The 21174-nt window shown below is 42.0% G+C and overlaps 1 protein-coding gene across 2 annotated transcripts in view, besides 3 other annotated features; it reads right to left on the reverse strand.

Moving 5' to 3' along the window:
- RERE (arginine-glutamic acid dipeptide repeats) overlaps positions 1 to 21174 on the reverse strand; it is a 465237-nt gene that overhangs the window by 238081 nt on the left and 205982 nt on the right. The gene's annotated exons all lie outside the window — the stretch shown is intronic.
- Positions 7948 to 8447: an enhancer, noted in NCBI's record as "H3K4me1 hESC enhancer chr1:8658491-8658990 (GRCh37/hg19 assembly coordinates)". NCBI's record gives its function as "activates a minimal SCP1, AML or CMV promoter by ChIP-STARR-seq in naive H9 embryonic stem cells {active_cell/tissue: H9 hESC(naive)}" and the evidence as "EXISTENCE:reporter gene assay evidence [ECO:0000049][PMID:30033119]".
- Positions 13496 to 13595: an enhancer, noted in NCBI's record as "active region_105". NCBI's record gives its function as "activates an Ori minimal core promoter by ATAC-STARR-seq in GM12878 lymphoblastoid cells {active_cell/tissue: GM12878}" and the evidence as "EXISTENCE:reporter gene assay evidence [ECO:0000049][PMID:35858748]".
- Positions 13906 to 14045: an enhancer, noted in NCBI's record as "active region_106". NCBI's record gives its function as "activates an Ori minimal core promoter by ATAC-STARR-seq in GM12878 lymphoblastoid cells {active_cell/tissue: GM12878}" and the evidence as "EXISTENCE:reporter gene assay evidence [ECO:0000049][PMID:35858748]".

Raw genomic sequence — 21174 nt, forward strand, 5'->3', positions numbered from 1 at the left:
TTTATGAAACTGCAGAGACTTCAGCTGAAGGCCAGAGATGCCCTGGGAACAAATGGAAATGCAGTGCGGCCCACCGGTCATGTTCCCTCAAAGGCCAAGTTAGTGCCTCTGGTATTCTCATTCTGGTACCTATGCTGCTGGAAATAGTATACAAACTATGCCTTTAAGCTTTCCAAATTGGAACCTGAAATTTTAAAAATCTTAATTAGTCCACACTTACGAAATACGAAGGCTTCCAGGCACACTGTCTGTTTGCTGTTCTGGAAAATCTAGTCCTTGAATTGCATTTCCTTCACTTACCTGTGAGGTTCCTTGACTTCTTCCCACTCTTGCAGCCTTCTCAGCCACGCTGATTCACAGCTGCTGCTTCCCTCTGAGGGACCACACGCCTGCTCTCACCCAGAATCCTCTAGCAGTTTCTTTTTCTAGAAACAGCTGAAGAACTGCTGAGTAGAAAGAGTCTGCAAACTATCCCGACTGCACTGTATTATTCCATCAGTGTGTGGAGCAACTGAAAAGTTACTTGGCTATATCAGATGTTAAGAACTGAGCACAAGCTTCCCAAATGTGTGTTCACTATAAAGAGGAAAGCCAGCAGACCTCTTCCAACTGAGACTCTGAAGAGAAGGCTGCAAGAGATTTCTGTGGCGCTGACATCAGATCTACTACATCATGTCCCAGCCTCCACGGGGCAACAAGAAAGTAAAGATCAAACCACCTGAGCTGCCAGATAAGGAACGCCTTTCTCTATAAATAACTTACTGATGTGAAGAGGCTTTTCTGGGATAAAACAAGTAGAAAAGTTATATATTGTACAAAAAGAATGGTCAAGAGAAAGATGGTGTAAAAGCAAGAAAAATCTTGACCCTCCCAGAAGCCACTGGCTGTTTTTGACCACCCATTGACAGTGAATTGCAAATGGCCATCAGCACTCTTTTTGCTTTAAAAAAAAAAAAAAGAAAAGAAAAGCCAATTTATGCCATTAGATGAAAATCCAAGTATCATCACCTATTTTCAATGCAAAATGCAAACTGTCTATATAGCCACCTAATGAACCCTGCCCTAACATGTTCCCACAATCCAAATCCAGTTAGTGACTGGAAATTATCCACAGGACGACAACTCCAGGAAGCAGTTGCCTCCTGGCTAAACCAAGAAGACTTAGGAGTACTAGTTTCTACACCTAGAATCCACTTTTCTCTCCTTTTCAAACCTGTCTAAGCCAACTCCAAATTCACTCCAAATTCTCCTCCTTAGCATTATCAACTGACAGGTTCCATCACGCATGCTTCCTTCGCAGTTCACACTTACTATGCCAAATGCACTGCTTTCTTGTGAAACACATCTAACGTATGTCCTGCCCTTCCCACAGAAATCTGCACATGCTGAGGGAAAGAACTCAGATCCTGTCTTAAAGATGCTGCTACCATTCATTTAATCCCTTCCTCTAAAGGTGCCTACTATAAAATGATACGTAAGGTGAGGGTTTAATAAACTTTGGCTTAACACACTGAAAGGAAACAAAGATTTTTATAGAAGGAAAAAACACTGTAATGCTAATGTGAAGTAGTACCTTCACAGTAAAGACATTTTACAGTACTTCCCTCCTCAATGAAAAGGAACAAAGAAATACAACTGAAAACATCAACAATTTAACTAAATCACAGGCCATTTCATGTTTAGCAACTTGTCTTTAAAACCCTCCCTACTACACTTCCACCCTAAATGCATTTACATGCAAGACATAACAGGCTCCTGCCCTTCCAAACCAGCAAAAGGTACTTTTTTTTTCTTTTTTAAAGACACCGTCTCTGTCTGTCACCCAGGCTGGATGGAGTGCGATGCTGTAATCTTGGCTCACTGCAGTCTCGACCTCCCCAGGCTCAAGCAATCCTCCTACCTCTTCCTCCCAAGTATCTGGGACTACAGGTGCATACCACCATGCCCGGCTAATTTTTGTACTTTTTTGTAGAGATCGGGTTTCACCACGTTGCCCAGGCTTATCTTAAACTCCTGGGCTCTAGTGATCCACCCGCTTCGGCCTCCCAAAGTGCTGGGATTACAGGCATGAGCCACTGCATCCAGCCTAAAAAAAAATCTTTTAAAAGCCATCTTTGGCTGGTGCAGTGGTTCACGCCAGTAATTCCAGCACTTTGGGAGGCCTAAGTGAGAAGAATGCTTGTGGCCAGGAATTCAAGACTAGCCTGGGAAACATAGTGAGATCCCATCTCAAAAGAAAAAAGTCATCTTTGCGCAGAGTTCTACTTTTACACCCTATCCTAGGAGAATCAAACTTAATCATATTTGCGTGGAGATAATCCATGTTTGTTTAAGAAAATGAACAGAAATTCAATTCATAAATTTAGTTCTAAATCATTAAAATACAAATACATGTAAAACGTGTTGAAACTGTTCTTACCTACAATCGCCATGTAATCTCTTCTATCATTCTACTCTGTTTTGGTATTCTTCACATGTTTTTCCATCTGAGATATGCAATAGTTCTCCTAATCCCAAGAAATGGCTACAACCTTGGGGTCATTACTACTCAGGAACTGGGCTGTTTGTGGATCTCATTCTGTGCTGAATGGTGCGACTGGTTTCAGACATGTCCAACTGTGGCAGAGAGTGCTTGTTCCCCATTCAACGTCCATTCTCCCCATTTTCCATAATAACAGAGCACCTACGTTACTGGAGCACAGTAAACCAAAGTTGTTAGGCACGGCTACTGGAAAAGCTCTGGAATGGGCCTAAAATAGCTTTTGCTGTGTGCCCCTCTGATAAGGGTCAGCTGTGTCCCCACCCAAATCTCATCTTGAATTGTAGCTCCCATAATTCCCATGTGTTGTGGGAAAGAGCCAGTGGGAGGTGACTGAATCATGGGGGTGGGTCTTTCGTGTGCTGTTCTTGTGATAGTGAATACGTCTCATGAGATCTGATTGTTTTATAAAGGGGAGTTCCCCTGCACACGTTCTCTTGCCTGCCACCATGTAAAACATGACTTTGCTCCTTATTTGCCTCCTTATTTGCCATGATTGTGAGGCCTCCCCAGCCATGTGCAACTGTGAGCCAATTAAACCTCTTTCCTTTATAAATGACCCAGTCTCAGGTATGGCTTTATTAGCAGCATGAGAACAGACTAATACACCCTCCTTCAGCTGCCTGGCTGGGATGGAGGACCAGTGTCCCCCAATCCACTGCAGAGCAGTGATTTTTACAATGTTAAACGGCTAGAAAAGTTTCTAAACAGATACTTTCAGCTTCTCTATTCATCTCCTGGTGGACTGGTAGCAAACAGTCCTATTGGTGAGCCACCATTTGAATAGCACTGGTCTAGAGCATGGACTTTAGGGGCTGTGGCTCCAGCCACCATCTGGGACCATGGCGAGACCTTGAGAAGAAAACCATGCACCGGGGCAGACAGGAGGAGACTAGATACCTGAGGTTTAGGTCACTCTACCAACCCGGGGCAGCACACCCTGAAAACACCTCATTTTATATGAGAACATAGATGTTTATCTTAAACAACTACGATTTGGGGTTATATAATAAACAGCCAATCCGAACAACAACTGACGCTCCCATTTTGCAGACCACTACAAAAATGTCACAGCACTACATTATCGCTTTTTATTCTCACATGAGAATAACCCTATGAAGCATGTAGCATGGGTATTATTTTGGTTTGACAGCTATGGAAACTAATGTCCTAAAAGGTTAAATAGCTTGTCTAAAGTAACACAGCCAGCAAGTATAGACCCGCAAACAAAAGCCAGCTAGGTACCCTTTCCAAAACAACTCACCTCTCCATGAAGTGAAATCATCTCATCACGACTGTACATAAAATACGCTGTAAATGATCAGAGGTGTGTACTTACAACAAACTACATAAAATGTGTATGCCACTGGGTAGAAAGATACAACAAAAATGTCACAGTCAACTAGTTAATATAAAATCAGATTTAATGGCTACAGTGAGAATGTACTGCATTTTACAGTGGTAACAAAGCATCTGTGAAAGTAGACAGAGGCGCAGAAACCACAGACAATTTTTATAATAATTTAGCCAGCAATATAGCAAGTGAACTATGAGCAAATACTACAATATAGTCTCAACATTTGAGCCTCTACATATAACATATAGTCTCAACTAATACTAGATGTAAATACAATATATTAATAAATAATAATGTTTAAGACAGTTTGAATAATAATGTCATGGTTAATAGTAACATATTATCCTTTAGCATAAATAAGACTTCTGAGAATCACTGGCAATCAGATGCGCTCTGAACCATTCTTTTGATGGTAAAGAAGGTTGGCAGAGAGCCATCCCCACTCACTTCCAGGAGGCCCTGATGAGCAAAAGCATATTATTAAAAAGCTGCGGGGGCCAGGCACAGTGGCTCACACCTGTTAATCCCAGTGCCTTGGGAGGCCAAGGCAGGAGGATCATTTGAGGCCAGGAGCCTGATACCAGCCTGGGCAACATAGTGAGACTTCATCTCTACAAAACATTACAAAATTAGCCAGGTGTGGTGGCATGTGCTTGTGTGGTCCCAGCTACTCAAAAGGCTGAGGCAGGAGGATCGCTTGAGCCCAGGAGCTTAAGGCTGCAGTGCTCTATGATCACACCACTCATTCCAGCCTAGGTGACAGAGCAAGACCGTGTCCAAAAAAAAAAAAAAAAAGCTGCTGGTTTGGATCTACCATGTTATCTGTGACTGTGGACTAACTTTTCTTTGGGTAAAATTTCTTTGCCTATGTGGGTATCAACCATTTTATTTCATCTGAAAAAAAAAATGCTAAAGCATTTGTCCATATCCATACTTAACTGTTAAATATTAAACAGAAAAGTTATATTTATCATTAAATACCAATAAAAACTTTTCTGTTGTCCTGAATATTTTGTTACAACATTAAAAAAAGTACACACACACAAGAAAAATTCAGACAAACTTTAATGTATTTTATTATTAATGTTTTATTTTTATGTATTATTTTAATGTATTTATTTTTATGTATTTATGTATTTTATGTATTTATTTTAATGTATTATTTTAATTGTATTTTATTATGTACATATTTTCCTGTCATATTTTCCCTTCAGAAACAAACTGCCAAAGAAAAAAGATGAAAAAGCATGTTTAAGCAATATTTAATTGCTCCTAGCATTTAAACATGTTATAAAAATCCTTAAAGATCATTAGTAAAAATGAGTTCTTACAATACCTATCCACTAGTACACTATACAAAAAACAATTAATGGAAGGAGGAGTGGTTAGAGGGATGTATTGGTAGAGATATAGATATATTTTAAAAAAGGATGCATCAACTCAAATAATATAGGAAAGAAGAAATGCAATTCCCACTAACTCTGCAAATGACCCTCAAACCTTACACAGGCACAAGGCTACAATGAAGAAAGCAAGTAAGTTTTGGAGTGACTCCTTCAGGGCACTAATCCCCAAAAGTTTATACCAGCTCAGGCTTCAGCAAACTACAGGCCCACAGGCCATGTCCAGACACCACCTGGACTCTACTGATCCACTAGAAATAAAGTGATTCAGTAAAATAAAGTTTCACTGAAACACGGCTACACAGTCATGCTCATTTGTTTACAAATTGTCTATGGCTAAGTTGAGTAGTTGCCATACAGAAAATAAAACTGAAAAAACTATCTGGCCCCTAATAGGAAAAGCTTGCTGTCCCTGAGTACAAAAATAACCAATAGTAAGAATGTTCAGAATCAGCTGGCTGAGCAGCAGCAAAAAACAGGATAGCTCTCCTCTAGAAACTGGTAGGAGCAAGCTTTCTGCCTCATAAACACTTTGCTGTGTATACACATGTAGTCTTAATTCATGAGACATAAGATTTGTCTTTTAAAAAGCTGACCCAAATACAAACCATCTCCAATCAGTTTCTCAGACACAAGTCAGAATATGACATTAAAATCCAGTGAATTGCACTGATATTTTCTCTTACAGACAAACCTAGTCTGTAGGAAAATAAATTACTCTTTCTCTCTCTCTTTTAATTTAACTAAGGGTCTTGCTCTGTTACCCAGGCTGGGGTATAGTAGTACAATCATAAGCTCACTATAACCTGGACCTCCTATGCTCAAGCAATTCTCTTGTCTGTGGCCTCCCAAGTAGTTGGGACTATAGCCACAAGCTACCATGTCTGGCTTTTTTTTTTTTTTTTCTGGTAGAGACAAGGTCTTGCTAAGTTGCCAGGGCTGGTCTCAAACTCCTGGCCTCAAGTGATCCTCCCATCTCCAACTCCCCAAAGTGCTGGGATTATAGGTGTGAGCTAACACACCTGGCCAGAAAACAATTTTCTCTAATGAATTAACTGAAAAGATTTACCACACAGCGTGTCTATCTTTGGAAACAGCGCTGCCACAAGGTACCTGGTGGTGTTCAAGTACAAATCCCCCTGACCTGCAAGAAATTTCACCTTTAATAATCTTTAAGAAAGGTCAAAAGCATTAACATGACAGATGCCCAGGGCACGAGCCAATAAAAGGAAAAGTTAACTGGGTTATCTCTCTCATATGTAGTTAAAACAGCAAATGCTTAATCATTTAATTTGTACTGATGCTGATTTTTTTTTTTTTTTGAGACAGGGACTTCCTTTGTCACCCAGGCCAGAGCGCAGTGGCGTGATCGTGGCTCACTGCAGCCTCAGCATCCCAGGTTCAACTGATCCCTCTGGCCTCAGCCTCCTAAGCAGCTGGGACTAGAGGTGTGTGCCACCATGCCCAGCTAATTTTTATATTATTTATAGTGACGGGGTTTTGCCATGTTGCCCAGGCTGGTCTCGAACTCCTGAACTCAAGCAATCCACCCGCTGCCTCAGCCTCCCAAAGTGCCAGGATTACAGGTGTGAGCCACTGTGCCCAGCCCCTGATGCTAATTTTTAAATGGACATTTGAATTCTCAAAGAAATTTGTGTTGCCTCTTGTCAAACCAGGTCACTGAAATGATAACCCACACAATAAGCCAATGAGAAGGAAAAAATATATGGGATTGGAAAACAGAATGAAAATCAACATTAAAATTCCATAATTAAAACACGCAGATAGAAAAGAATTTATCTGACAACGTGCTAAGAACCCCCTGTCCTGTGTTTGCTGTCATGGGGAGGGAAGAATGTCTGCAGCACAGGCTTTCCCAGTCTGATTCACAGCCCTGTTATATATGAATGTGCACACTCGAAACAAGATCTGATCTGGACAATAGTCAAGTCTCTAAAAGCAAGGGAGTTCAATTAATTTTTTAAATAAACATTTCACTGGATTTTTTTTTTTTAATGATCAATCCTGTTGACAGTTTTCCCGTCCATCTTCCAGAAGAACTCACTACTCAACCAACTGCCTGGTATTCAGCTGTGACTGTGAGGATGGATAACTATATTTCCTTAAGAAATAGCAGGAAGGTATCTCATCCAAGCAGAAAATAAGACCAACAGTTGTCCAGGTCTCAGTGGTTCTGCATTTCTTCCTAAAAGAGAAATATGTCTCTAAACATCTCTTTCCCGCCTCATGGGGTTGGGGGAAGCAATATGCTCAGAAAAATTTTAACTACTCCAGGCAGCTGAATAAAACAAGCTGAAAACCCTAGATGTGTTCTCCACATTACTGTGACAGAATGCAAGTGTGTATTCGAAAGATTTCCTCGCTGGAATTATAAAGCGTACAGCAAGCCAGCCTGCTGTACTGCCACCTCGCTCTTGCTCCCAGACTCCCTCCCATGGACTAAGCAGGAACGAACATACGAGCTGTGAATCTGGTAGGGGAAACAGGAAACATCCAACCAGGAACACACTGGAGAGAAGAGAAAACAGTTAACCACCTATGAGAAGATGGCGCTGATTCCAGCAGGTGACAGGTGGGACGTGAAGGGCATTCCCGGCCCTCCAGCAGAAGCAACGTCACGGAGCTGGGTGCTGGGTGGGTTGCACCGTTCTGAGGCAGCACGGTTCTCTCCAATGACTCTCACACAGGAACCAGACCTGACTCTGTTTCTTCCAGGACGGTCCTCCCTCACTCCACAGCCTCTCATGGCAGCTGGACACCCACCAGGGCTGGATTCCACACACAGAAACCACATCCAATGCTCTGTTACTAGAAGTCGACCATCTGGATTTCAAAGACCTCTGTCTCTTTCTGTCCTTTGTTAATCAGTCTCCCTTCCCACTCAACCCTCTCCCCTCCATGCCAGAGAAAAGGATTTTTAAATCTGATGAGTTTTTCAGGGAAGCAGAAATGTGAGATTACACTGTTCTTTAGCCTCACCTCATGGTTTTGCTACAGAGATCAACGTCTTCTAACACAGCTTTGCCCATACTCTTCCTGAGGCTGAACCAAAAAATCTTTCATGAACAGTACTGTCTCCACCAGCAGAATGTAAATATACCACAGCACTGACTTCAAAACACTGAAGTAGAGAGTCTTAACTCTCCTTAGACAGAAGGCAGAAGGCTGCAAACATCCCCCAGCAGACTGCAATTGTGCTGTTCCAACTGACAAGCCCAGTAAGCACTGCCCATGACAGGACCTCCTGCAGAACTTCTCCCAGCCTGGCGGACAGCGGGGCAGGGGTCACCCTCAGAGGCTCGCCTTCTCTTTGCTCCCTAGCCATCACACTACACTGGGATGAGACACAACAAGCACCCAAATGACACAGTGACCATTTCTTTTGGTCACTGAGGTTCACGAGATGGGCTGTTTTTCTTTTTCAATCGAGGAGCTGAAATCCTACCAGCCACCTAACAATTAACAACCCCAACCCTGTCCACGGTTAAAATCAACGAAAAAAGCAAGGCCAACTTCTTGTATAACTTCCTTCATACGGGAAAAACATCAAGTTCAACGTGTGTTAATCAAGTGTCAGGTCAATGTACCACGCAAATATATTTGATGTTTTTTGCTAAGGCCAATACTAAACTGTTAAACACAGAGAATATGAGGAAAAACAAGGTTAAAAAAAGTGTATAGATGTCCAACCCTCTTTTAATAATTCCAAAAAAACACAAAGCTACTTAGGCAAAAATAAATCACAAATCTATTCAGGAGCACTGTAAAACGGAAGAGAATTATCTAAAGGGATTCACCGGCTACTGACTAATTTTAATATGAAATGCCTCACAAATCTCCCTGTGCCACCAACAAATCACCAGCTGAGGCAAATCCCAGATAATGAAACATTGTAAGAAGGGCTCTTTTTAATAGTTTAGCCCATCAAGGAGTGAGTATTGATTCTTATTTTCAGCAGAAGGAGACAGTCTTATCTCCAGCCTTACAGCTCAGTGACAACATCAGAGAATTTAATCACAGAGCCTTTTCTGCCATGCAATCCTTAAACTGTCACCTAGGATTCTGTGCCATTCCTCATCCATTTGTAGAGAAACTCCTGGTCTCACAGATGTGTCTGCCTACTTAAACCACAGTAACCATATTATATGGTTGGCTGTGTCCCACCCAAATCTGACTTTGAACTGTAATAATGCCCACGTGCCAAGGACGGGGGCTGGGTGGAGATAAATGGATCACGGCGGCGGTTTCCCTCACACTGTTCTCATGGTAGAGAATACGTCTCACAACATCTGATGGTTTCATAAATGGGAGTTTCCCTGCACAAACTCTCTTGTCTGCCACCATTTAAGATGTGCCTTTGCTTCTCCTTTGCCTTCCACCATGATTGTGAGGCCTACCCAGCCACATGGAACTGTGAGAGTCCATTAAACCTCTTTCCTTTATAAAAATCACCCAGTCTCCGTATGTCTTAATTAGTGGCCTGAGAACAGACTAATACACCATAGCAGCACTTCAAGTCCTACAGATTAAACACATCTATCTATCAATTACCATTTGCCAGCTGTTTTTCTTTAAGAATTTTTTAACAATTCATCAGATATCTTTGTGCATTTCCAACTTGTTTGTTAAGAAATCTGCTCAGTATCTTAAGAGCAGATTGAAAATCATAATAATAGCTGTGCCAATTCTCTGGACATCTGTGGATATTTGTAATATATCCAAGACAATGCCAGTAACAAAAGAAAAAGCCAGGGGGAAGTGATAGCGAAATCAGTCATTATTTCCTTATCCTGACATAGGAAGATCAGAAAGTCCCCCACCTTCCAGAGAAAATTAACCAAATACTAAAGTTAGCAGTAATATTAATTCAAAAGTGTCCCTGCATCTTTAAATACTAAAAAAGTACTCAAAACACAGAAAAAATTACACTGAAAACAAGCCAATACTTTTTTTTTTTTTTTTTTTTTTGAGACAGAATCTTGCTGTGTCACCCAGGCTGGAGTGCAGTGGTGCAATCTCGGCTCACTGCAAGCTCCGCCTCCAGGGTTCACACCATTCTCCTGCCTCAGCCTCCCGAGTAGCTGGGACTACAGGTGCCCGCCACCATGCCCGGCTAATTTTTTGTATTTTTAGTAGAGACGGGGTTTCACCGTGTTAGCCAAGATGGTCTCTATCTCCTGACCTTGTGATCCGCCTGCCTCGGTCTCCCAAACTTTTTTTTTTTTTTTTTTTTGAGACAGAGTCTTGCTATGTCAGCCAGGTTGGAGTGCAGTGGTGTGATCTTGGCTTGCTGCAACCTCCACCTTCTGGGTTCAAGCAGTTCTCCTGCCTCAGCCTCCCAAGTTGCTGGGATTACTAGCGTGCGCCACCATGCCCGGCTGTTTTGTATTTTTAGTAGAGATGGGGTTTCACCATGTGGGCCAGGCTGGTTTCCAACTCCTGACCTCCAGTGACCCACCCTCCTCAGCCTCCCAAAGTGCTGGGATTACAGGGATGAGCCACCATGCCTGGCCAAGCCAATACTTTTTAATTCAAGTACAAATCAAACTACATCACTGAGAGGAATGTTCCCCAATCCAGTTACACTACCCTACTATCCATTATCACTGTTGCTGTGAATAATTAGTACCCCCTTCCAGGGAGTGGGGGGTACAGACCACGTGACAGTGGGTGTCACTGTGGTGACAAGACTGTTTGAGAGTGGGAGGTGGGAGCAATCATTTATGCTGGTAATTTGCCTTAAGATGTTATTCCCAAACATCCTTCCATGATCCTTTGGATTGAGATACCTTAATCCCAACTGCCTTCATGTCCAAGGTCACCACACACACACACACACACACACACACACACACACACACACACACATCTTCCTTCCATGATCCTTTGGATTGAGATACCTTAATCCCAACTGCCATCATGTCCAAGGTCAACACACACACACACACACACACACACACACACACACACACAAACACACACACAGACACACATCTTCTATTAGAGAGAACCGAAGGCATTTGACAGCTGCCTTTTTAGGTCCTTCTGCCTTTCCATCCAAACTATCCATCGTTAACAAGGCCCTATGGCAGTGCAGCAGCGCTCTCCATTCTAATCAGGCATCGAAGAGAAACTTCACTGTCTGTAGGCTGCAACCAAGGGCAGCAGCCTCACAACAAAAGTGCACCCTTTGTGTGGCAATCATTTACCTGTTGTAAAAGCACAGTACCCTTCTCTCTAATAAAAATTCGAAAGGCCAAAAATCAGCATTACATAATGGCCAAACATAAAGAAATGAAAAGCAGTCTGGGTGCGGTGGCTCATGCCTGTAATCCCAACACTTTGGGAGGCCGAAGTGGGTGGATTACAAGGTCAAGCGATCGAGACCATCCTGGCCAACATGGTGAAACCCCGTCTCTACTAAAAATACAAAAAAATCAGCCAGGCGTGGTGGCGGGCGCCTGTAGTCCCAGCTACTCGGGAGGCTGAGGCAGGAGAATCACTTGAACCTGGGAGGTGAACGCTGCAGTGAGCTGAGACTGCGCCACTGCACTCCAGCCTGGTGACAAGAGTTAGACTCCATCTCAAAAAAAAAAAAAGGAAAAGAAAACATAATAAAACAGCCTCACGCTATGTTCACTGGAAAATTTATATGCATGTATATGTTTTATAAGTTATAGAAGCCCATAAGAATTCCAATAGTTCAGGGGAAAAAAAAAGAAAAAAAAAAAACTAAACTTGAGCTATATACCGATGTCTACCCACTAAAATTACTAAAACTATAGCCAGGAATACTTGTTTGGTTTCGTGCCCCTCTCCTTTACAAGGGAGGTAGAAAGCAAGGTGGAGAGACACCCAACAGTCACTTCCGTTTTAAAAAACAAAAACAAAACCAAAAAACTTACACACAGCAGATTTTTCTGGCTAGTATTGGCCAATCTTTCTCTTGACAGTATTAAGTGCTATCCTTTGTGTTAACAGTCCCATGCATTTAATTTATTGGTTTAAAAGAAATATTTCTTCATCTGATTAAAAAAAAAATCAATCTGACTTTTCTGTCTTGTAATTAAAACAAACTATCAATACAATGGATAGGGGGCAATTTCTCTGAACCAGGAGCTGTTCCAGACACTGGGGACAAAAAGGTGAATGAAACACAGCCCCTTCTCTTAATCTAGCTAAGAGGACAGACACGTACAGAGGCATGATGTGAGAATGATGCTGGCTGACAGTGCCTCTCAGGCAGAAGCGAGAGATGACTGGAAGTGGGAGGTGGAGAGGAGAGGCTCACTTTTATTTTTCATTTCAATGTATACCTTAATATTTTTAACATCCATTTTTGGAATTACATGTTTTACAACTTCATTAATAGAGTTCAGAGGCACAAGATTTTGGCTCTAAGTTTACATATAACTAAGTAGTACTACCATAATTATCACAAGCTGGTAAATAAACAAGATGGCCTCAATGTGCCAAGGGCACATTTATGCCAAACAAAGGCAAAGTCACTTCATGGCAAGCTGTATTTACACTGATGGTTTCTGAGTGGCAATAACTGAAAGAAAAGCAACAGGAAAACCGAGTCATTACAAGGAATCCAGCCGTCTACACAAACCAGGCACCATCCCAGCATCCAAGAACATGGGCCATAAGGAAGCAGTAACAGTTACATCACAAGCGGCTACTTATTTCACAACATCATCGCCCAGTCTATTAAATTAATGTTGGTAGTCAGAACTTTATTGGTTTTGTAGTTTGGTTTGAAATTAATTTATAAACTGCCTTTTATAGCTGCATTAGGGATATAAGCACACAAATTATACCTAATTTGTGTATTGGGGAAGGGAGGAAATTAAGTAATATAGAAGAACACAAAAACTATTTTTGAAGTAAACATACTCAAGTTTCAAAAACATGAAAGACCCTGGAACTGCATCAGAAGTTCCACATCCTCAACGTAAGCAACATAAGGAGGAGACCCTGTCTTTACAAAAAATTTTAAAATTAGCAGGGCATGGTGGCCCGTGCCTGTAGTCCCAGCTACTCAGGAGGTTGAGACAGAGAGGCCGAGGCTGTAGTGAGCCCTGAACATGCCACTGTACTCTAGGTGGGTGACAAAGCGAGACCCTGTCTCAAAAAAAAAAAAAGAAAAGAAAAAAGAAGAAGTTCCACATGCTGCAAAGGACAAGATCAGATCTACTTTTACACTAGTTACTGGAGTTGGGGACAAGCCTTCATTTGCTAATGCTGGCCATCCATCAGAATCTCCTGAGAAGTGCTTCAAAGGAGTATGGATTCCTGGGTTTGACTCTGGAACAAATGAATCAGTATTCTCATCTTACATGTGAAGACAGTGGGACTCTGAAAGATTAAGTCACCTGATCGTACAACTAGTCAATGGGTAACCAACATGATTCAAACCGATACTATGATTTTAACAGTAAAAACGTGAGGTTTTTTAACTACCTCCATGATCTGGGGGAAGGGTATACTGCAGTTCCCTGAACTACTCTTTCAACTTCTCTGTAAGTCTGAAATTATTTTCAAATAGAAAGTTAAAAACAAAAACTAAAAAGAATAGACAGCAGGCTGAGACGTGTTAAGAGGTAGAGGTGGGATAGGAAATGGAAAAGGATGAGGCAGAGGCCTCTGAAAGGAGGGCAGAGGCAGAGCTCCATCTCCACACAGAGGAGGTCGGCTGGTTTTCAGTTTTGTTTTGTTGTGGGGGAAGAGGAGGTACCAGTCAATAGCAAGCTGAGGAGTTTAAAAAAAGAAGGAAGGAAGGAAGGAAGGAAGGGAGGGAGGGAGGGAGGGAGGGAGGAAGGAAGGAAGGAAGGAAGGAAGGAAGGAAGGAAGGAAGGAAGGAAGGAAGTCCACATATCTGTAAGGTGGGCAATAAAGGAACGATCTTTCTGTATTTCTCTACATTACAAATTCAAACTAGCATTTACGAACTTGCCAAAAAAAAACCTGTTTATGTTTATAGAGAAATGCATTCTGAAGTCCAAACAACTGACCACACAACAATTTCTAAACCCTTCCACTACTACATAAAACATCTGCTTCTGTGCTAAACTTTTGTAAGGCACAGTTTCTGCTTCAAGAAAATCTGTGATGCTTGGAATTGAGGTTTATCTTACTGAAGAAAAATCTGAAGAAAAGTGTTTGCCACCCATACAGCTGATAATTTTTTGTAATCCTAATGGATCAGTGGGAAATTGTACCACGAAATCTCTTGTCAGTCAATATAACAATGTCTCTAACTAATTTCAGTAAAGTGAAATCTACAGTTATTCCCTTGAAAAACAGGACAAATCAACTCTTTCCCAACTTTTTTCTTTTTTTTCCCGCAAGACGGAGTCTCGCTCTGTCGCCCAGGTTGGGGTGCGATGGCATGATCTCACTGCAACCTCCACCTCCCTGATTCAAGCAATTCTCCTGCTTCAGCCTCCCAAGTAGCTGGGACTACAGGCACATGCCACCATGCCCTGCTAATTTTTTGTATTTTTAGTAGAGATGAGGTTTCATCGTGTTATCCAGTATGGTCTCAATCTCCTGACCTTGTGATCCACCTGCCTCAGCCTCCCAAAGTGCTGGGATTACAGATGTGAGCCACTGAGCCTGGCCTTCCCAACTTACTTTAAGAGGTAACTAAAGGACGGGTGCGGTGGCTCACCCCTGTAATCCCAGGGTGATTGGATTGGGAGGCTGAGGCGGGTGGATCACCTGAGGTCAGGACTTCGAGACCACCCTGGCCAATGTGGTAAAACCCCATCTCTACAAAAAATACAAAAATTAGCCAGGTGTGGTGGCACGTGACTGTAATCTCAGCTACTTGGGAAGCTGAGGCAGGAGAATCACCTGAATCCGGGAGGCAGGTGATCATGCCAAAATCATGCCATTGCACTCCATCCTGGGCAACAGAGCAAGACCCCATCTCCAAAAAAAAAAAAAAAAAAAAAAAAAACCCCTAAAAAAAGTGATAATAGATTATCTCCATTACTGGCAGCAGAAAACAAATTTAAGTGTTAAATACCAAACTTTTTTTTTTTTTTTTTGAGACAGCGTCTCACTCTGTCACCCAGGCTGGAATACAGTGGCATGATTATAGCACACTGCAGCCTCAGCCTCCTGGGCTCAAACAATCCTCCCACCTCAGCCCTAAAAGTAGCAGATAACTTTTGAATTTTTTGTAGAAACAAGGTCTTTCTTTGTTGCCCAGGCTGGTCTCAAACCCCTAGGTTCAAGCAATCCTCCAGTCTTGGCCGCCCAAAGTGTTGAGATTACAGGCATGGGTTACCACACCCAGCCAATACCAAAGTTTTACATTACATAGGTGAAGCTAGTATCCAACTATTTTCCACCAATTACCATGTAATATGGTTGAAATTACACGACCTTTCAAACTTCCAGATACAGGTGACAAAGAACATTTTTAATATAATTTCTATTTTCAAGATTTAAAAATTCTATCTACTTTTAATGTCTACCTAGCTGTCACCTCAAAAAATTCAAGACAGATTCTAAATTTTAAAAATTTTCCAATTTATGTTCCAGGAAATTTAAGTGAAAGGGAGGAAAGCTATAACTAAAATTTACTAATGGCTAGTAGTACTAATATACATACTTTAAAAAAAAATTACCAAGGAATAAATATTTAGGATGCTCCAGAGAAAAATTATATCTGTAAGCAGTTTCAATCTCCTCATTTTATGAATGTTTTGGTTACTTCAGCTATTAAGTTTTAATCAAGCTAAAAAATAGGCCTTTTTCCTTCCATCTTAAGAATGTCAATGGGATGAGGAGGGAAAAGCCAAAAGGTGGGAGGAATAGAGTAACAAACTTTTAATCAGCTAGCATGATTTAAAGGACACACACTTCTGTCCTTTAACACAGCATGTTTCTTGAAAATAGGTTACTAGTTCCTAAAAAAGAACACAAAAGCTATTTACAGGCTGAAAATCTAAGATTTTCTATTCTCAAATTTTCATTTAGAGAATACATTTTGGGACAAGAGGGAAAAACTACATTCATTTTAAGGGGATAGGAAAAGTACCTGATACGATCTAATCGTAAAACATGAGATCAAAGATAAGAACTGAAAATGCAACTTCCAGGCACCAGGCATAATAATTTATATAGACTCTAAAAAAGGATTAACTTTAAGTGTATTACTTCAACTTCACTCCAGTCCTTAGAAACATTTAATATCCTTGGGAAAGAGTACCATCTCTTCTTCCATTGAAGGCCTTGATATTTATAGAAGATATTGCCGGCCAGACGCAGTGGCTCACAATTGTAACCCTAACCCTTTCAGAGACTGAGGCAGGTGAATTCTTTGAGCCCAAGAGTTCGAGACCAGCCTGGGCAATGTGGCAAAGCCCCGTCTCTAAAAAAATTTAAAAATTAGCTGGGTATGGTGGCAGGCGCCTGTATTCCCGGCTACTCAGGAGGCTGAGGTAGGAGGATCATCTGCGACTGGGAGGTTGAGGCTGCAGTGAGCCATTATCAGGCCACTGCACTCCAGCCTGGGTGACACAGGGAGATACCCTGTCTCCAAAAAAAAAAAAAAAAGATATTCCCATCAAAAAATACTACGATATCCTAAAAACAAAGTTAGAATAAGTAAAACCACAAGCTTACTTCCATGGCCTGAAATGTCTTTGGCAATTCTATTGCTAAAAATAAAGCCTAGGAGAAGCCCCGCATATTTGTTTTTATATATATTTCTTTTTTTTTTTTTTTTTTTTTTTTTTTTTGAGACGGAGTCTCGCTCTGTCGTCGAGGCTGCAGTGCAGTGGTGTGATCTTGGCTCACTGTAACCTTGAACTTCTGAGTTCAAGTAATCCTCCTGCCTCAGCCTCCCAAGTAGCTGGTACTAGAGCCTGGTACTATCACAGCCACACAACACCATATCTGGCTTTTTTTTTTTTTTTTTTGAGATGGAGTCTGGCTCTGTTGCCCAGGCTTGAGTGCAGTGGTGTGATCTCGGCTCACTGGAACCTCTTCCTCCTGAGTTCAAGCGATTCTCCTGCCTCAACTTCCTAAGTAGCTGAGATTACAGGCGCCCGCCACCACGCCTGGCTAATTTTTGTATTTTTAGTAGAGACAAGGTTTTGCCATGTTGGCCAGGTTGGCCTCGAACTCCTGACTTCAAGTGATCCACCCACCTCGGCCTCCCAAAGCGCTGGGATTATAGGTGTGAGCCACCACACCCAGCCTAACGTTTTTGTTTTTGTTTTTTTTACTTTCTGTAGAGACAGGGTCTGGTCAGAGACTGGTCTGACCAGTTCAACCTGGTCTTGAACTCCTGGCCTCAAGCACTCCTCTCTCCTCAGCCTCCCAAGGTGCTGGGATTATAGGCATGAGCCACCACACCCAGCTGTTCAGATATTTTTTCAATCAACTAGTACGGAACAAGGGCTGTGCCAAGTGGCTTTGTAATCTTAGCACTTTGGGGTACTGACACAGGAGGATCCCTTGAGTCCAGGAGTTCAAGACCAGCCTGGGCAACATAGGGAGACCCTGTCTCTACAAAAATTTAAAAAATTTTTAAATTTTAGGTAGCATACACCTATAGTCCTAGCTACATGAGAAGCTGAGAAAGGAGAATCACCTGAGCCCAGGAGGTTGGGGCTGCAGTGAGCCAGAATGGTGCCACTACACCCCTGCCTGGGTGACAGAGTGAGACCCTGTCTGTAAAATCAACAAAAAAACCCCAAAACATGAAACACCCCAAGAAAGGCAGGGCTGAAAGTCCTAACAGTGCCTGTAAGTAATAAAGAGCAATGCACTATCCCTGAAAGAACAAGAAGCTCAATAAAACTTGCAAAGGATCATTAAATCTAATATATGCCTATGGAAACAAAAAGGCATTTAAATCGTAGGCAGTTATAAAAGCATAGGTTTATTGATATTTGTGATCTAAAAATGCGGCTTGATGCCCCTTTTGGAAAAAAGATGATGAATATGATGAAAAGACAGTCTTAAGAATAAATTGACTGGGCACAGTGGCTCACGCCTGTAATCCCAACACTTTGGGAACCCAAGGCGGGAAGATCACTTGAGGTCAGTTTGAGACCAGCCTGGCCAACATGGTGAAACCCTGTCTCTACTAAAAATACAAAAATTAGGCCAGGCATGGTGGCTCATTCCTGTAATCCCAGCACTTTGGGAGGCCGAGGCAGGAGATCACCTGAGGTCAGGAGTTCAAGATCAGCCTGGCCAACATGGTGAAACCCTATCTCTACTAAAAATACAAAAATTAGCCAGGTGTGGTGGCACACGCCTGTAATCTCAGCTACTCAGGAGGCTGAGGCAAGAGAACTGCTTGAACCCGGGAGGCGGAGGCTGCAGTGAGTTGAGACTGCACCACTGCTCTCCAGCCTGGGCAAAAGAGCAAGACCCTGTCTCCCAAAAAAAAAAAAAAAGGAATAAATTAACTGACAATTAGCTTTTATGGGGACAACTGCTCCAGGTGAAAGGAACAGAGCTGAAAGCAGGCCCAGCCGGGTTCTCTGATGCCAGTAGCAGTCAGCCTTGGCATTATAGGTCAGCTGGGTGCTTTCAGAACTTTCTTAATTTGTTACATTATAAGTCGACAGCTAGTAATCATCTTTCATTTAGGGTAGCTGGATTAATCCCAACATTTGTATTAGCAATTCTTCTGAAAATCCAGCCATCTTAATATCTTTCACTAAAATCAAATATAAAAAGCAATCTCTCATGATCTTTATCGATGGTTATTTTTGGCATACTTAATGGGGAGTATGCCAAAGCAGGGAAGCCACAGTAAATAATGAAAAAGCAATATAGCCTCTCTAAACTTCTGCACCACTAAAAAAGCAACCAGATTGGAGTTCTTTCTAAGCAACAAGTAGGTAACAAACGTAATACAATCAGCATTTCCAAAAGAGCATTTTATAATAAATTTTCTTTTTTAATTCTTAAATGGTACTATGGTATCAAGCATGGAAAGCACTAATGTTAGAAGTGATACTTACTAATGGTAAGTGCCTTACTTCAGCAAAAATAACTCTATTAACACCGGTTTGACTGAGTTCAATCGAGCCTCCCACCTCAGCCTCCTGAGTAGCTGCAACTGCAGACACATGCCACCACACCCAGATAATTTTTCATTTTTTCGCAGAGATGGGATTTCACCATGTTGTCCAGGCCAGTCTTGAACTCCTGAGCTCAAGTGACCGAACCGCCCCAGCCTCCCAAACTGCTGGGGATTACAGGCGTGAGCCATCATGCCCGGGCTGATTTGAGGTTTTAAATGACAAACAGCAGAACCTTCGCTGTTTTTAATCTTAACTTTTAAATTATTTTCAACACCTAAGCAATCTACTGATTAGCATCCATAGTCAAAAAGTAAAGATCCTCTTTCCAGAAAAATGTACATATATAGAAGATTTTGCCAGCAGTTTCAGGATGTTCACAGACCCTCTAAAACTTTCAAGAGACTTTATGGATTTCAGATTAAGAATGACGAGAATTTGGGCCGGGCACAGTGGCTCACGCCTGTAATCCCAGCACTTTGGGAGGCCGAGGCGGGCAGATCACAAGGTCAGCAGTTCGAGACCAGCCTGGCCAACATAGTGAAACCCTATCTCTACTAAAAATACAAAACTTAGCCAGGCATGGTGGTGGACGCCTGTAATCCCAGCTACTCCAGAGGCTGAGGCAGGAGAATCGCTTGAACCCGGGAGGCAGAGGTGCAATGAGCCAAGACCGCACCATTGCACTCCAGACGTTGCTCTGGGCGACAGAGCAAGACTCCATCTCAAAAAACAAATAAATAAAAAAAGAATGACCAGAATTTGTATAATTCAAGTCTTACAGGATAATAGACAATGCTTATTGTATGCTTGCTATATGCTAAGTATGGTGCTAAGAAATTTAATGAATTATTTTATTTAATTTTTGCAACAACCCTTTGTCATAGATAGTATTATTATTATACCCATACTACAAGTGAGAAAACTAAGAGTTAGAAAGGTTAATTAACATATCCTATGTTACCAAGAAACATGTCAAAAGAAAAAAAGTTCCCTAATGGAAAATGCAAAACAAAAATAATGATTTAAAAAAAAAAAAACCATACACCGGGCACGGTGGCTCACATGTGTAATCCCAGCACTTTGGGAGGCCTAGGTGGGGGGATCATGAGGTCAGGCAGTCAAGATCATACCGGCTAACACAGTGAAACCCCATCTCTACTAAAAATACAAAAAAAATTGCCAGGTGTGGTGGAATGCACCTGTAGTCCCAGCTACTCGGGAAGCTGAGGCAGGAGAATTGCTTGAACCCGGGAGGCGGAGGTTGCAGTGAGCTGAGATCATGCCACTGCACTCCAGCCTGGGTGACGGAGCAAGACTCTGTCTCAAAAAACAACAACAACAAAACATACACAGCCAGGTACAGTGGCTCACACCTGTAATCCCAACACTTTGGGAAGCCAAGATGAGAGGATCACTTGAGGTCAGGAGTTCAAGACCAGCCTGGCCAATAAGGCAAAAAACACTGTCTACTAAAAGTACAACAACTAGCCAGGTGTGGTAGCCCACACCTGTAACCCCAGCTACTCAGGAGGCTGAGGCAGGAGAATCGCTTAAACCCAAGAGGTGGAGGTTGCAGTGAGCCGAGATCATGCCACTGCACTCCAGCCTGCATGACAGGGTGAGACTCTGTCTCAAAACAAAAACAACAACAACAAAAAAACACTACTCAAATAAAACAGTTCAAACCACCCCTACAATACTGTCCTACTATGTGTGTTAACCACTCAAAAGAGGTCAAACACACAAAAAGACATGGCTAAAAGAATTAAAATGCTAACTAACTAATAT

This window comes from Homo sapiens, chromosome 1 (assembly GCF_000001405.40).
Source record: "Homo sapiens chromosome 1, GRCh38.p14 Primary Assembly".
Taxonomy (NCBI): domain Eukaryota; kingdom Metazoa; phylum Chordata; class Mammalia; order Primates; family Hominidae; genus Homo; species Homo sapiens.